The 16,352-nt window shown below is 43.4% G+C and overlaps 1 protein-coding gene across 1 annotated transcript in view, besides 3 other annotated features; it reads left to right on the top strand.

Annotated features, from left to right (window-relative positions):
* Window positions 1-16,352, top strand: part of CHD8 (chromodomain helicase DNA binding protein 8) — a 70,925-nt gene that overhangs the window by 1,200 nt on the left and 53,373 nt on the right. The window lies entirely within an intron of this gene.
* Window positions 2,129-2,628: an enhancer, noted in NCBI's record as "H3K4me1 hESC enhancer chr14:21920455-21920954 (GRCh37/hg19 assembly coordinates)". NCBI's record gives its function as "activates a minimal SCP1, AML or CMV promoter by ChIP-STARR-seq in primed H9 embryonic stem cells {active_cell/tissue: H9 hESC(primed)}" and the evidence as "EXISTENCE:reporter gene assay evidence [ECO:0000049][PMID:30033119]".
* Window positions 12,088-13,006: an enhancer, noted in NCBI's record as "H3K4me1 hESC enhancer chr14:21910077-21910995 (GRCh37/hg19 assembly coordinates)". NCBI's record gives its function as "activates a minimal SCP1, AML or CMV promoter by ChIP-STARR-seq in primed H9 embryonic stem cells {active_cell/tissue: H9 hESC(primed)}" and the evidence as "EXISTENCE:reporter gene assay evidence [ECO:0000049][PMID:30033119]".
* Window positions 13,740-14,034: an enhancer, noted in NCBI's record as "tiled region #12162; K562 Activating DNase matched - State 5:Enh". NCBI's record gives its function as "activates a minimal TATA promoter and a strong SV40 promoter by Sharpr-MPRA in K562 cells {active_cell/tissue: K562}" and the evidence as "EXISTENCE:reporter gene assay evidence [ECO:0000049][PMID:27701403]".

Genomic DNA, 16,352 nt, shown 5'->3' with positions numbered 1-16,352 from the left:
CTGTGTTAGTTAATTAGATCGTGTCTTCTGCTTAGGAATTTCTTTTGTATTGGTCATCCAATAGGTTTCAGAACAAATTCTAGTCAACCTCATAGAGCAAGATATGAGAAACTTATTTCAAGTACTTTGGAATTATCCCAACCCTTAAAAAAAGAGTTATGATAAGAAAAACATTTTCCATGTAAGAAGACCTTCTGCTGCAAGAGAGGCGTGTCAGTGGATCTGAAGGCAAGTGAAAGATATTGGCCAAAGAGAGAGTAGGCAAGTTTGAAGAGACAGGCTTAGGAGAAAGTTTAAAACTGAAATAGTGGCTCACGCTTGTAATCTCAGCACTTTGGGAGGTGGAGGCGGACGGATCACTTGAAGTCAGGAGTTCGAGACCAGCCTGACCAACATGGTGAAACCCCGTCTCTAAAAGTACAAAAAATACAAAAAAAAATTAGCCGGGCATGGTGACGCGTGCCTGTAGTCCCAGCTACATGGGAGGCCAAGGCATGAAAATCGCTTGAACCCTGGAGGTGGAGATTGCAGTGAGCCAAGATCGTGCCCCTGCATTCCGGCCTGGGCGACACAGCCAGAGGATAGCAAAGGAGTAATGGATTGGGATAAGGGATATAATGGAACAGTGTATGAGTACTTGAACAGTTTTTGTATTCTCCATGTTTGATCTGTCCTGTGCATCTGCTCTTTTGGTTTTGTCAGTTTTCTTTTCTTTTCTTTTCTTTTCTTTTCTTTTCTTTTCTTTTCTTTTCTTTTCTTTTTTTTTGAGACGGAGTCTTGCTCTGTCACCCAGGCTGGAGTGCAGTGGCAGGATCTCGGCTCACTGCAACCTCCGCCTCCCAGGTTCAAGTAATTCTCCTGCCTGAGCCTTCCGAGTAGCTGGGATTACAGGCGCCCGCCACCATGCTTGGCTAATTTTTTTTTTTATTTTTAGTAGAGACGGGGTTTCACCATATTGGCTAGGCTGGTCTTGAACTTCTGACCTCGTGATCCTCCCGCCTCGGCCTCCCGAAGTGCTGGGATTACAGGCATGAGCCACTTTTCTAAGCAAAATTACCACTTAAGATTAAGTTGTGGGTGTCAAAACTGTGTTTGCTTACTGAAGAAATAAGATTTGATATTCTCATATGTGAAAGGACTGTAACATTCAGATGAATGCTAAATGCTTTAGTGAACTGTTTGTCTACAGCTCTGGAAGAGTTAAGCTATCTTCTGAGCTTACATTGAGCCTAATACTTGGGAGGAAAACAGAAGACAAACATTTCTCTCGAGTCTCCACTTTCACCTCTAGAATCTCTCTACTTCTGGAGTTGGATTTGAGCCAGTCCTTGATCTGCAGGTCTTCGCATGACCTGTCCTTACATTACTGTGACCATTGTGGTATAATATTTACTATTTTACCTTTAGCATTTGATTCATTGACAGACTATCATGTTTCTTATCTCACTTTAACTTTTTATATCCCCTCTTACATGATCTATGATCTTTTATTCTTTTGTCTCACCAAGTTGGTGATCTTTTCATCTTCCTGTGATTTTGCTCACTTTCCTTTTCACTTAATTCACTGACGTTGTACACTTTTGCTTCTGTTTAGCTGAAACCTTTTAGGGAATGTAATTTCTGTATTTTTAGTAGAGACGGGGTTTCACCATATTGGCCAGGCTGGTCTTTAACTCCTGACCTCGTGAAAATTGAAACCTTTTAGGGTATCTAATTTTCAAGATGTGGTCTTTCTTTGGTACCTAGCACCCAAATGAGAGTTGTCTTTCTTTCTTTCTTAAGAGACGGGGTCTTGCCATCTTGCCCCAGCTGGTCTTGAACTCCTCGGCTCAAGTGATCCACCCACCTTGGCCTCCCGAAGTGCTGGGATTACAGGTGTGGGCCACCACACCCAGCCTGACAGTTGTATTTCTTTGTTTTTTGTTTTCTTTTTTTTTTTTTGAGATGGAGTCTCGCTGTGTCACCCAGGCAGGAATGCAGTGGTGCGATCTTTGCTCACTGAAAGCTCTGCCTCCCAGTTCAAGTGATTCTTCTGCCTCAGCCTTCCGAGTAGCTGGGACTACAGGCGCGCACCACCATGCCCGGCTAATTTTTGTATTTTTAGTAGAGACAGGGTTTCACCATATTGGCCAGGCTGGTCTTTAACTCCTGACCTCATGATCGGCCTGTCTCGGCCACCCAAATCGCTGGGATTACAGGCGTCAGCCACTGCGCCCGGCTGACAGTTGTATTTCTATGTAATGGGATTGTTGTATGAAGTTTTCTTTTTTTTTTTTCTTTTGAGACAAGTCTCCCTGTGTCTCCCAGGCTGGAGCGCAGTGGCGCGATCTCGGCTTACTGCAACCTCCACCTCCTGGGTTCAAGTGATTCTCCTGCTTTAGCTTCCCAAGTAGCTGGGGTTAAGGCGTGTGCCACCACGCCTGGCTAATTTTTTGTATTTTTAGCAGAGACAGGGTTTCACCATGTTGGCCAGGCTTGTCTCAAACTCCTGACCTCAGGCTGATCTGCCTGCCTCGGCCTCCCAAAGTGCCAGGATTACAAGCGTGAGCCACCACACCAGGCCTGAAGTTTTCTTTTACCTAAAGTTTATTTAACATTTATTGCATTCTGGCTGGGTGCAGTGGCTCACGCCTGTAATCCCAGCACTTTGGGAGGCCAAGGCGGGCATCCTAGCCAACATGGTGAAACCCCGTCTCTACTTAAAAAAATACAAAAATTAGCTGGGCGTGGTGGCGTGGTCCTGTAGGCCCAGCTACTCGGGAGGCTGAGGCAGGAGAATCACTTGAACCAGGGAGGCGGAGATGGCAGTGAGCCTAGATCGTGCCACTGCACTCTAGCCTGGTGACAGAGCGAGACTCTGTCTCAAAACAACAACAAAACATTTACTGCATTCTAGATTTTGTCTTGGATAACCTTTTTCTCCTTTAATCTCTCAGTTTTGTGGGTGAGTAAACTTTAAATGAAACTCTAAAGTTTTCATTGTATTTGTATTGTAAAATAAGTCCACCTCTTTGTAGTTACTTAATGTTTTACGTTTAAACTACAAAGTATCTTAATCTCTGACGTTTCTCATTAAGCTGTTCTCTAGGTAACATTTCTTTTGCCCTTTTATTATTAATTATATAGTTTCCATCCTTCACTAGGCCCTTAGTTTGTTAATGTTACATGAAGCAAAATGGTCAACTTCAAAATATCTTATTTGTTGCCTTCAGGTTGCAGCAGGAGACTTAAAGCACGTAATTTCTACCCATTAATTGTATGGTACAGGATAATAAAAATTCCAGCAGGCATAGATAGAAATTAGCCTGGCATAGATAATTACTTTTTTTTTTTTTTTTTTTTTTTTTTTTTTGAGACAGAGTCTCACTCTGTTGCCCAGGCTGGAGTACAATGGAGCGATCTCGGCTCAGCACAACCTCCGCCTCCCGGGTTCAGGTGACTCTCCTGCCTCAGCCTCCCCGAGTAGCTGGGACTATAGGCGCGTGCCACCATGCCCGGCTAATTTTTTGTATTTTTAGTAGAGTCGGGGTTTCACTATGTTGGCCAGGCTGGTCTCAAACTCCTGGGCTCAAGCTATCCTCCTGCCTCTGCCTCCCTAAGAGCTGGGATTACAGGTGTGAGCTACCGCACCCAGCCGATAATTACTTTTACATTAGTCTTCAGCAGGGAAAGATCCAGGAATATATTTTAAGCAGTGGAGCAGTGTAGGGATCTTAGACAACATTCTAACCTCTTCAAATTCAGATTTTCCTGTAGTATATTCTCACTAGTTTGTTTGGAAAGAGTTTCCAGAACTATGATTTACTGTTATGTGTAATTATTAAGAAAGGGTTGACCTTGTCATTTAAGGAGTGAAATATCCCTTATTTTCTTTCCTTTGTATATTAATATTTCATAGATATTTATTGTATATGACTTCATTTTATTTGTTGTTTATTTCATTTTAAAAAGACAATTAAATAGCATGCTACTGAAATTACCAGATAATTTCCAGGACTGTGCTTCATTGCTCCCTTGTATGTTAGCACCTTAAATGTGATAGTGCCAATCCTTTGGGTAGTGTCTCAATATTCCAGTGATGAGTAATTTCCTAATAACACCTTTTTGTTTTCAGAGTCTGTAATTCTTCTAAGACTATGTCAGTAGCTTTCCAATAAAGGATATATAGTAACTGAATTCTTAATTTTATTTGAGAAGAAGGCTACTGAACAGCTATAAGGTCTTACGCTTTTTTTTTTCTTTTTTTCTGTTTTTGTTTTTTTTTAAGAGACAGGATCTTACTGTGTTTGTTATGTAGGCTGGAGTGCAGTGGTGCAATTATAGCTCACTGCAACCTCAAACTTTTTGGCCCAAGTAGTCCTCCCATCTCAGCCTCCCAAGTAGCTGGGGTTACAGGCCGGCCCATATCACAGTGCTCAGCTGAGAGTTGTAAAATGTTTAAGGTTTCTCAGATTGTCTCTTGTGTTATTATAGAAACCTTTGGAATTTCCTGCTTTCTTTTTTTCTTCCACTACATGCTTTGGGGATGCACTATATCTTTGGGGATTATTTCTTTGGGATATGGTTATTCAGAAGTACATTGTCATATTAGTGATATGGGAATTTCTTTTTGGTTAGTTCTGGAAGAAACCAGTGATTTCTATAGTTTGGCTGCTTATTTAGATACACCCAAATCATAACAGAATTTCGTGTATGGAACATGATTTTATCAGATATACATCTATCTAAGTAAACAGCACTAATGGTAAGATGTTTCTGGATTTCTGAATTTTTTCATCTTTTTTTTCATTTTCTATTGCTGCTGCACAAATTAGTGGATTTTTGAATAGGGGCTAGCAAGTTGCATAAACATTGAACTTTTACTCAGTATTTTTCATTTCTTCTACTCAGTACTCAGTCATTCTTGTTTTTCCTCCCCTTCCTGGGTCTGGGGCACATTAGTCAGTTCTTCCTTAATTTGCATATCAATTCTCCTATAAAATTTAGTGCTTTCGCCTGTTTTACAAATATGACTGCTTTTTTAAATGAAAATTTAACTATATAGTGTAGGCAGTGGTTACTTCCTTTCACTACGCTCCTGAAAGTCATTGGAGTCAAAAGCTAAGTAAGCTGGATCTGGGCATGTGAACTACCAAGGGACAGTCTAGTCAGTTGGAAACTAAAAGTTACCACAAGCAGGTATTGTGAAGTAAATTGAATACTTAAGAAATAGACACTGACATATTCCTACAAACATAAAAGTGATTAGTTGAATTACCTGGGATGTTACTCTAGATCACAAGTGCTGGTTGAAATCTGTTTCATGGTTATGATGTTAAAGACTTGTGCTGCTTTCTCAGCACGGTAGTACTGGAGTCCTTTCATCCTGCCCAGCAGTCCTGCCATTCTAATTGTGAAACTTTTACATCTATTTCGGTATCCCTCCATTCTGCCTAACAGATCAGCTCTGCCAAGTCTCTGAGGAGTAATTTTGCTTTGAGAGAAGCCTTCAGTGGTACTGTTTTAAGATATTGGATGGAGAATAATAAATTCCTTTTTATTTGCCTACTATGTGCCAAACATTGTATGTTATCTTTTAATCTTAAGAATAACTGAAATGTATGTGGTGCTAGTTTCATTTTACAGGGAAAATAAAAAAAGACTGTGAGGTTAGGTAACACAACCAAGAGTAGGAGGAGCTCTGGTCTGACTTCAAAGCCCCATTTATTATCCAGCCAACCTCCTTTTATTTTATTTTATTTATTTATTTTGCGATGAAGTCTCGCTCTGTCGCCCAGGCTGGAGTGCAGTGGCGCAGTCTTGGCTCACTGCAAGCTCCGCCTCCCGGGTTCCCGCCATTCTCCTGCCTCAGCCTCCCGAGTAGCTGGGACTACAGGCGCCCGCCACCACGCCCGGCTAATTTTTTGTATTTTTAGTAGAGATGGGGTTTCACCTTGTTAGCCAGGATGGTCTCGATCTCCTGACCTCGTGATCTGCCCGCCTCGGCCTCCCAAAGTACTGGGATTACAGGCGTGAGCCACCGTGCCCAGCCCAGCCTCCTCCTTTTAAAAGTTCAGTGCTGGTCCAGGCGCGGTGGCTCACGCCTGTAATCCCAGCACTTTGGGAGGGCGAGGCGGGTGGATCATGAGGTCAGGAGTTTGAGACCAGCCTGACCAACATGATGAAAACCCCCGTCTCTACTAAAAATTAAAAAAAAAAAATTAGCCAGGTGTAGTGGCGCGCGCCTGTAGTCCCAGCTACTCAGGAGGCTGAGGCAGGAGAATCGCTTGAATCTGGGAGGCGGAGCTTTCAGTGAGCTGAGATTGAGCCACTGCACTCCAGCCTGGGTGACTAAGACGGTGTCTCAAAAAACAAAAAAAAAGTTCAGTGCTGACCCCTGTGTGCAAACTGTCTTTGACCACAGCACTAGACAGGTAGGTATTCAGTAGCCTGTTAAAGCTGTGCCTTTGAAAATTGTAGAACCTTGAGAATGTAAGATTTATTTACGTCTTTGTATCTCTGTTAAAAGGAAAAAGAGTAAATAGTTTGTTTCTTTTATTTAACTTAGTTATTTTGAAGATAAGATTATGTGAAATACTTTAAGCTGTACAGGGGAAAATGACTTGGTCAGTCTTGCATATAATTCACTTTTTTAGCCAATGCAAGTCAGTTTAGCCCATTAAAATTTCATGAATCCCATGTCACTGGGGTCAGTTTTTAGGCACAAGTCTGATAATAACAGTGCTTTATGATGTTTCTCCTCCCACACATACTCTTTTAGCATAATGGTTGCAGTGAAAACAATTCCGTATAGCCTCTGGTTATTAAGTAAATATTTATATATTTCTATTAGGCTGAACACATTTATGTGTACTTGGCTCAGTTAAAATAGGGCATGCAGGAATGTATGTGGGGGAGCATGAAGAGGACATGAATCTGTTACCTAAATTAATATACATTGTTACTTATGTTGGATCGCAAAAGTGGTAGTATAAGGTGAACATTGGCCCAGTTAGAGATTTCTCATCTAGAACAGAGAGTATTATTTTCACCTTAGTGACCATGAGCCAGTGAAGAGCAACTTCTCCAGATCCAGTCCAAACTTGACCTAAGTCTAATGTTCCCCAAAGATTAGGCTCTTATTTTCTGTCTTCAGACTTAGACCAAAACTTGAGGGGTTTACTGGGAAAAAAAAAATCTACAATGAGGTTGACTTAGAAAAAAAAAAAGAATCCATGCTCTATTTTTGAGTCATAAGGATATAGTGTCATCCGGCCGGGCGCAGTGGCTCACGCCTGTAATCCTAGCACTTTGAGAGGCTGAGGCGAGTTGATCACCTGAGGTTGGGAGTTTGAGAGCAGCCTGACCAATATGGTTAAACCCCGTCTCTACTAAAAATACAAAAATTAGCTAGACGTGGTGGTGCGTGCCTGTACTCCCAGCTACTCAGGAGGCTGAAGTGGGAGAATAACTTGAACTCTGGAGGAGGAGGTTGCAGTGAGCTGAGATCGTGGTACTGCATTCAAACCTGGGCAACATGGGGAGACCCTGTCTCAAAAAAAAAAAAAAAAGGGATATAGTGTCATCCGTTCACTTCTTGCCACAGCTGGAATTGGTCACCACTGAGGCATTATAGTCCTAACCCTAACGGGGTAACTAACATTTCATTACTGTCAACAGCGAGTACCTCACTCTAGAAAACAGTCTTTTATGTGTAGTGCCATACAACCCCTTTTGCTTTATGTAAAAGCTGTGTCTGCTACAGCTACTAAAAAGTGAAGGTGCTTGTGATTTTATGATACTTCTGAATGTTTCTGGTAGGAAACTGTGCTACTGTCCTTTTGTTGTCATGCAGTCTGAGTGAGGGAAGCCATTGCTTTGGCTCAGAAACCTCTCTCCCACACACCTTCAACTGGAAATTCAGTGCATTCCTTCAACAAAAATACATTGAATGCCCATTACCACCTGATAAGCCAAGGGAATACTGTAATGGACAAGTCATAGACAAGCCTTTACCCTTGTGGAACTTGCATTCTAATGGGGGAGAGAGAGTAGACATCAAACAATTATATAATCAGTTATTCAATCTTTACAACAAAGGAGAAGTACTGGAAGTTATAAGATAATTTATAATGGGGCATGTAACCTAGAGCATAGTATAGTAAGGTGGTTAAGAATGTGTCTTCTGGAGCTACACTGCCTAAATTTGCATCTGGTACTACTTTTCACTAGCTGTAGGATATTGGGCAAGGTATTATCTCTTTGTGCCTCAGTTTCCACATCTGTGAAATAGAGATAGTTATTTTAGTCTTGTTAAGAAAATTAAATAAGAAGCCAGGAGCTGTGGCTCACGCCAAAGTAATCCTAGCACTTTGGGAATCTGAGGCAGGCCGATCACTTGAGGCCAGGAGTTCCAGACCAGCCTGGGCAACATGGCGAAACCCCGTCTCTACCAAAAATGCAAAACTAGCCGAGTGTGGTGGCGTGTGCCTGTTGTCCCAGCTGCTTGGGAGGCTGAAGCAGAGGCATTGCTTGAGCCTGGGAGACAGAGGTTGCAGTGAGCCGAGATGGTGCCACCTCCAGCTTGGGTGACAGAATGATACCCTGTCTCAAAAAAAAAAAAAAAAGAAGAAGAAGAAAATTAAGTATGTTAATACATTTTCATTGCTTAGAGTGCCTGGCATGTAATGTACATTCAGCAATTTTAGCTGTTACTAGTCTGGGAAATCAAGGAAAACTTTTTTCTTTTTTCTGAGACGGAATCTCGCTGTGTTACCCAGTCTGGAGTGCAGTGGCGCGATCTTGTCTCACTGCAACCTCTGCTGCCTGGGTTCAAGCAATTCTTCTGCCTCAGCCTCCCAAGTAGCTGGGATTACAGGTGCCTGCCACCGCACCTGGCTAATTTTTGCAGTTTTAGTAGAGACGGGATCTCACCATCTTTTTTTTGAGACGGAGTCTCGCTCTGTCGCCAGGCTGGAGTGCAGTGGCACGATCTCAGCTCACTGCAACCTTCACCTCCTGGGTTCAACTGATTCTCCTGCCTCAGCCTCCCGAGTAGCTGGGATTACAGGTGCCCGCTACCACACCCAGCTAATTTTTGTACTTTTAGTAGAGACAGGGTTTCACCATCTTGGCCAGGCTGGTCTCGAACTCCTGACCTCGTGATCCACCCGCATTGGCTTCCCAAAGTGCTGAGATTACAGGTGTTAGCCACCGTGCCCAGCTGACTTTTTTTTTTTTTTTTTTTTTTTTTTTTGAGACCGAATCCTGCTCTGTTGCCCGGGCTGGAGTGCAGTGGCACGATTTTGCCTCACTGCAGCCTCTGCCTACTGGATTCAAGCAATTCTCCTGCCTCAGCCTCCCAGGTAGCTGGGATTACAGGTGCACACCACCACGCCTGGCTAAATTTTTATTTTATTTTTAGTAGAGATGGGGTTTCACCATGTTGGCCAGGCTGGTCTTGAACGAACTCCTGACCTCAGGTGATCCACCCGCCTCGGTCTCCCAAAGTGCTGGGATTACAGATGTGAGCCACCACGCCCGGCCAGGGTTTCACCATCTTGGCCAGGCAGGTCTTGAATTCCTGACCTCGTGATCCACCCGCCTCGGCCTCCCAAAGTGCTGGGATTACAGGTGTGAGCCACGGCGCCTGGCCCAACTTTTTGTTGAAATGAGCTTTGAAGGATAAGTAAGAATTAAAGTGGCAGAATGGAAGAGAACCAGTTAGAAGGTAATTGCAGTAGTCTAGGGAAATGAACATGATAAATTGAGCCATCTTTTGAGCCAAAGGGTAATAAAGGCAGAAGTAGATGGATTTGAGGGATCTTTAGGAGGTAAAGATGGGAATTTAAAATACTGGGTACGGGTAGTAAGGTAGGTTTCTGGTCTGTGCAACCATGACTATCCAGATAGGAGATGCTGGAGAATGATTACCAGTTTGTGTATGTGCACATGTGGTAGTGGGATAGGGATGGGGGAACTGGAGAGTCTACCAAGAAAAGCTATGGATTAAGCAGGGAGATATACAGACCAAGAGTTCAAAGGTGACATCTTGCCCAGAGATATGAGAGACATAAGCATATAATTTATTGAAGAAAATAATGAATAATAATTGAGGTGATGTATTGGAATTAAACATCCTTGAAAAGAAAGTATAGAATGAAAAGAAGGTCTAGGACCAAAGTGAACTTCAATTAAAGGGGTGGTATAGGAAAAAAGTAGCAAATAAATTTTTTTTTTTAAAAAAGTGGTTAAATAGATTGAAGGAAAACTTGAAAAGTGTGGTGTCCTGTAAGCCATGGGAAAAAAAATATGTTTGAGGGTGGGAGTGGTGTTTTTGCAATTTTTATGACCCTTCCTTGGATCCTTTAGAGTGTGAAGTCTCACCACTCAAAATGGGATACTAGTGACATAGAACATCTAGAGCAGGCTTAGGCTGACCAAAGCCATTTAGTTGAACATGATCTTCAGACTCTAGAATCTAGAATGTAGCTATTCCTGTTCACCTTAAATTAGATTTAATATAAAGGGAGAGAGAGCTAGAGTGTGCACTCAAGCTCATAGGTATTAGCCAACTGAAACTAAACTATTTTGGAGGCCATTAATCTGGGTAGTGACCCTCTCTCAGGCTCATTACAGTATCCTAGGTATAGATATTAGCAAAAACAATTTTTTTTCCAATTTATCCAACAACATTTGTCAAGTACCTACTAGGACTTAGTGGTTATGTGTCAAGCACTGTGCCAGTTGTTTCATTAATCCTCATAAATGTTCCTGTAACTTAATACTGCTATCCCCTTTATGTAGAGGAATGAGCTAGACTCAGAAAGGTTGATTTTCTTGATGGGACAGAAATTTGAACCCAGGTCCCTTGGACTTCAAAGCTCATTATATTTCCATATACAAATGTAAGTAAAATATAAAGTAAAAGATAATTATCCTAAAAGAGGACTACACATAATGCTATGAAAACTCACATGGACAGATTCACTTCTGGTTTGACAGTGGAAAGTAGGTATCAGAAAGGCTTTCAAGTATTACATCCAGTGGACATTTTAAAGTGTTGTTTTTTTTTTTTTTTTTTTTTTTTGAGACGGAGTCTCGCTCTGTTGCCCAGGCTAGAGTGCAGTGGCGCGATCTCAGCTCACTGCAAGCTGCGCCTCCCGGGTTCACGCCATTCTCCTGCCTCAGCCTCCCCAGTAGCTGGGAATACAGGCGCCCACCACCACACCTAGCTAATTTTCTGTTATTTTTTAGTAGAGATGGGGTTTCACCGTATTAGCCAGGATGGTCTCGATCTCCTGACCTCGTGATCCACCCACCTCGGCCTCCCAAAGTGCTGGGATTACAGGTGTGAGCCACAGCGCCCAGTCCTAAAATTCTTATATGGTTGGACATTTTTGCTTTGTTTGATATAATTGATCACTCTTCCCCTGCAAATCTCTATTCTCTGCCTCTGTGACACTGCACTGTCTTGCTTCTCTAGCTGTTTTTTCTCTACCTGCTTAAGAAGGCATTATTCTGATTCTTAATTTCTGTTGTTCTCCTGGGTTCCTCCTTAGCTTTTCAGTCTGTCACCCAGGCTGGAGTGCAGTGGCGCAGTCTCGGCTCACTGCAAGCTCCACCTCCCGGGTTCACGCCATTCTCCTGCCTCAGCCTCCCAAGTAGCTGGGACTATAGGTGCCCGCCACCACACCCGGCTAATTTTTTGTATTTTTAGTAGAGACGGAGTTTCACCGTGTTAGCCAGGATGGTCTCAATCTCCTGACCTGGTGATCCTCCCGCCTCGGCCTCCCAAAGTGCTGGGATTACAGGTGTGAGCCACTGAGCCCAGCCCAGCTAAGTGTTTTCTTTATCCTGCATAGTGTTTAGTTTTCTTAAAAAATTAGTTATTTACAGTCAAAATTCTGGCTTTTGGAAAATCTGAAGTTTTCTTTCAACCTTGGATGTGTGTTTGTATTTGACAGGACTTAATTAGAGGTGAATTGCAGCTACATTCTTCAGAATGGATATAGGTTCTCCAGTTCTTCACAGTCATTAACATTCTCTTGTCTCTCCCAACAATATTTGTGCAGTTGTTCTCTTTCTTTCTTCCTTTCTTTCCTTTCTCCCCTCCCCTCTCCTCCCCTCTCCTCCCCTCTCCTCCCCTCTCCTCCCCTCTCCTCCCCTCTCCTCCCCTCTCCTCCCCTCTCCTCCCCTCTCCTCCCGTCTCTTCCCCTCTCCTCCCTTCTCCTCTCCTCTCCTCTCCTCCCCTCCCCTCCCCTCTCCTCTCCTCCCCTCTCCTCTCCTCCCCTCTCCTCTCCTCCCCTTTCTCTTTTCTCCTTTCTGATAGGGTCTCTGTCACCCAGGCTGGAATGCAGTGTCATGAACATGGCTCACTGAAGCCTTAAGCGATCCTCCTGCCTTAGCCTCCCAAGTAGCTGAGACCACAGCATATGCCACCATGCCTGGCTAATTTTTTATTTTATTTTATTTTATTTTGAGACAGGGTCAGACTCTATTGCCCAGGCTAAAGTACAGTGGCACAGTCTTGACTCACTGCAACCTCAACTTCCCGGGCTCAGGCAATCCTCCTGCCTCAGCCCTGAAAGCAGCTGGGTCTATAGGCCTGTGTCACACGCCTGGCTAATTTTTGTATTTCTGTAGAGACAGGGTTTCGCCGTGTTGCCCAGGCTGGTCTTGAACTCTTGGGCTTAAGCAATCTGCCTGCCTCCGCCTCCCAGTGATGGGATTACAGGCATGAGCCACTGCACCCGGCCTAATTGTAGAAACAGTCTCCCTTTGTTACCCAGGCTGATCTCAAACTCCTGGGCTCAAGCAATTCTTTGGCCTTGGCCTCCCAGCCTTGCAGTTTTTCCTATCCTTGACCTGCTCTTCACATTCCCTGGGTAATCTCCACTTTTACAGCTAACACTTAGTTGCTAATAACTCTCAAAATCTATCTCCAAGCCAGACTTTTAGGCTCATACAGCCAACCTCCTACTGAATGTCACTACTTAACATACTATAGGCAGCTCATTTTCTTTTTGGTTTTTGTTTGTTTGTTTGTTTGTTTTTGAGGTGGAGTCTCGCTCTGTCACCCAGGCTGGAGTGCAGTGGCGCAATCTTGGCTCACTGCAAGCTCCGCCTCCCGGGTTCATGCCATTCTCCTGCCTCAGCCTCCCTAGTAGCTGGGACTACAGGTGCCCACCACCACGCCCAGCTAATTTTTTTGTATTTTTAGTAGAGACGGGGTTTCACCGTGTTAGCCAGGATGGTCTCCATCTCCTGACCTCGTGATATGCCCGCCTTGGCCTCCCAAAGTGCTGGGATTACAGGCATGAGCCACCACGCCCAGCTCTAGGCAGCTCATTTTCAATATGGCTAAACTATTCATCTTTCCCTCTGAACTCCAGGTTCTACTGATTTTTATCCCTTAAGTGTTTCTGGCTTTGTCATTTCCCTCCCATTATTATTTTTTAAACTTGATCTTAGCAAAAGGCCAATAAACAATTCTATCACTATCTTTTGAACCATATTGCTATAATTTAGGCCCTAATAATTGTGTTAGGATTCTTGGTTGCAAACAACAGGAATCATCTTTTGGGTAACTTAAGCAGGAAGAAAATTTATTGCAAGGATACTGAATGGCTCAAAAAAGTAATGGGAATATTAGAGAACCTGGTTTAGAGAATGGTGTGAAATCAAAGGAGGGAAGACCAAAGAGAAGGTCAAGGTCACACTGCTGACCAGTCTATATAGGATGCTACAGTTGGACTCTAATATCTGCCATTGCCAAATATTGTCTAACTGGTTGGTCCTGGGTCTTTGCATTACTCCTGCAAAGTCAAGACTTCCCCAGCAGGAGTATCCACTTAAACTAGCCTAGGTCATGTGCATGCATACTTCCTCTTTGCTAGGAAGGGGAGGAGGCAATTGAACCCTATCTCCCCAGGCTCCATATGGGGAGATAAGATCCAGCTTTCCATGGAAAATATAGGAAGGGGCCTTTTGGTTGCTGAGCAGAAAAAAACTAGCAAATGTTCACTATACAACTCCTTTCTGGTCTCAGCAGCCTCCTAACTGCTTCTGTGTCCTCTGTCCTCTCACCCCCTAGAGCCAGAGTTAGCTAACCAAAATGTAATTCTGATTACGTTATTCCATGTTTCAGTGGCTCCTCATCCACCTGTAAGAAAATGTTATTCAAGGCTCTCCACGCTCTGGCCCTTACCTGTCCCTTCGGCTTCATCTCTATCCAGTTCCTTCTTCGCGATTTACACTTTAGCAAGGCTGAACTACAGAACTAGAGTTTCCTCTACATGTCTCATGCTGTTTCTCATTGCTATGCTTTGTTTTGCCTTCCCTCTTCCTGTCCCTGCTGCCTGAATATCCCTTTCTTACAGCCCACCTTTCCCTCCCACCTGGTAACTTTTCCTCATTGTTTAAGAAACTATTTTCTTGGCTGGATGCGGTGGCTCACACCTGTAATCTCAGCACTTTGGGAGGCTGAGGTGGGTGGAACACCTGAGGTCAGGAGTTCGAGACCAGCCTGGCCAACATGGTGAAACCTCATCTCTACTAAAAATACAAAAATTAGCCGGGCATGGTGGTGGACGCCTGTAATCCCAGCTACCCGGGAGGCTGAGGCAGGAGAATCACTTGAACCCGGGAGGCAGAGGTTGCAGTGAGCCGAGATCGCACTACTGCACTCCAGCCTGGGCAACAGAGTGAGACTCCATCTCAAGAAAAAAAAACCAGCAACAAAAAAGAGAAACTACTTTATTGATGTTTTTTCCTCCTGAGCCCCTGCTGGTCTTATTGAATGTGTCACCTTGTATTATAATTGTTTTTATTTGTCACTGTTGTCATACTGCCTACTCTTTACCCTCTTCCCACATACATACACAAATGCACTCTTACTTACTGTGAGTTGAGGGTAGGGATTATGTCTTACTTGTTTTTGGATCCCTAATGCTAGCAGATTACTTGGCATGTTACATACTCAATACATATTGAAGTAATAAGAAGCATTTGATGTTGAACTTAGAGGATAATAAGTAAGATTTTGGTAATGCAAAGAAAGAAATTAAAGATGTGTATAATTTGAAGGCAGCAATATTAGGCTCAGATTAGAAAAAATACGACAATAGTAATTTGTCTTTTTTTGGCTAGCAAGTATATGTAGACAAATGGTAGAAAATAAGACAGGAAATATAAGATATTGTCTTAAGTAATTGGGAGCCTTTGAAAATTTTCCAGCACAAGTTTGATTTGGCCATACCGTGTTTTAGGATATTAATCTGGTTGCAGAATGGATTAGTAGGGTGAGTAGAGAGATTTTTTATGAGGCTTTTCTCTTACATAAGCAACTACATAAGTAAGGGAGATGGCAGCAGAAATAGGAGTCAGATATATGAATCCTAACTTGCCACTTAGTTTCATAGTCAAACATTCAACTCTCTAAGCCTCAGTTTTCTCATCTATACACTAAGAAGGTTGACAGAGTCTTTGGCAGCTCCAAAATCTTTGTTATATATTGTAAGAGAATCAATGACACTTGGCAAATGATTGGATGGTGGCTACAGGGGGGAGGTTTTAGAGACTGTTGAGGTTTTGAGCCACAGTGAATGGGAAAACAGTATTGCTGTTTACAGGAGTGGTAATTAGGTGTTTTTAGCGACAGTGGTAATGCTAGGATCTTTAAAAAATAAGACATCTAAAGCAAGTTGATTTTCCTAATTTGTGTCCTCAGAGTATAAGAAAATAGGATTTCAATGTTGAGGATACTTTCAGAGGAAACTAATGGTCAGGAGATAAGCCGCCCTTTTTTTTTCTTTTTTGAGACATTGTTTCACTGTGTTGCCCAGGCTGGAGTGCCTTGGCATGATCTTGGCTCACTGCACCCTCCACCTGCTGGGTTCAAGCAATCCTCGTGCCTCACCCTCCCCAGTAGCTGGGACTACAGGTGAGTGCCACCACTCCCAGCTAGTTTTTGTATTTTTAGTAGAGATGGGGTTTCGCTATGTTGGCCAAGCTGGTCTCAAACTCCTGGCCTCAAGTGATCTGCCCACCTTGGCCTCCCAAATGCTGAGATTACAGGTGTGAGCCACTGCACCTGGCTTTTTTTGGCTTTTTTTTTAAGACAGAGTCTCGCTGTGTCACCAGGCTGGAGTGCAGTGGGGTGATCTTGGCTCACTGCAACCTCTGCCTCCCAGGTTCAAGCGATTCTGCCTCAGCTTCCCAAGTAGCCGGGACTACAGGCGAATGCCACTACGCCCAGTAATTTTTGTATTTTTAGTAGAGACGGGGTTTCACCATGTTGACCAGGATGGTCTAGATCTCTTGACCTTGTGGTCTGCCCGCCTCGCTCTCCCAAAGTGCTGGGATTACAGGTG

This window comes from Homo sapiens, chromosome 14, assembly GCF_000001405.40.
Source record: "Homo sapiens chromosome 14, GRCh38.p14 Primary Assembly".
In the NCBI taxonomy this organism is placed as follows: domain Eukaryota; kingdom Metazoa; phylum Chordata; class Mammalia; order Primates; family Hominidae; genus Homo; species Homo sapiens.
This window is presented reverse-complemented; position numbering and strand designations above follow the sequence as displayed.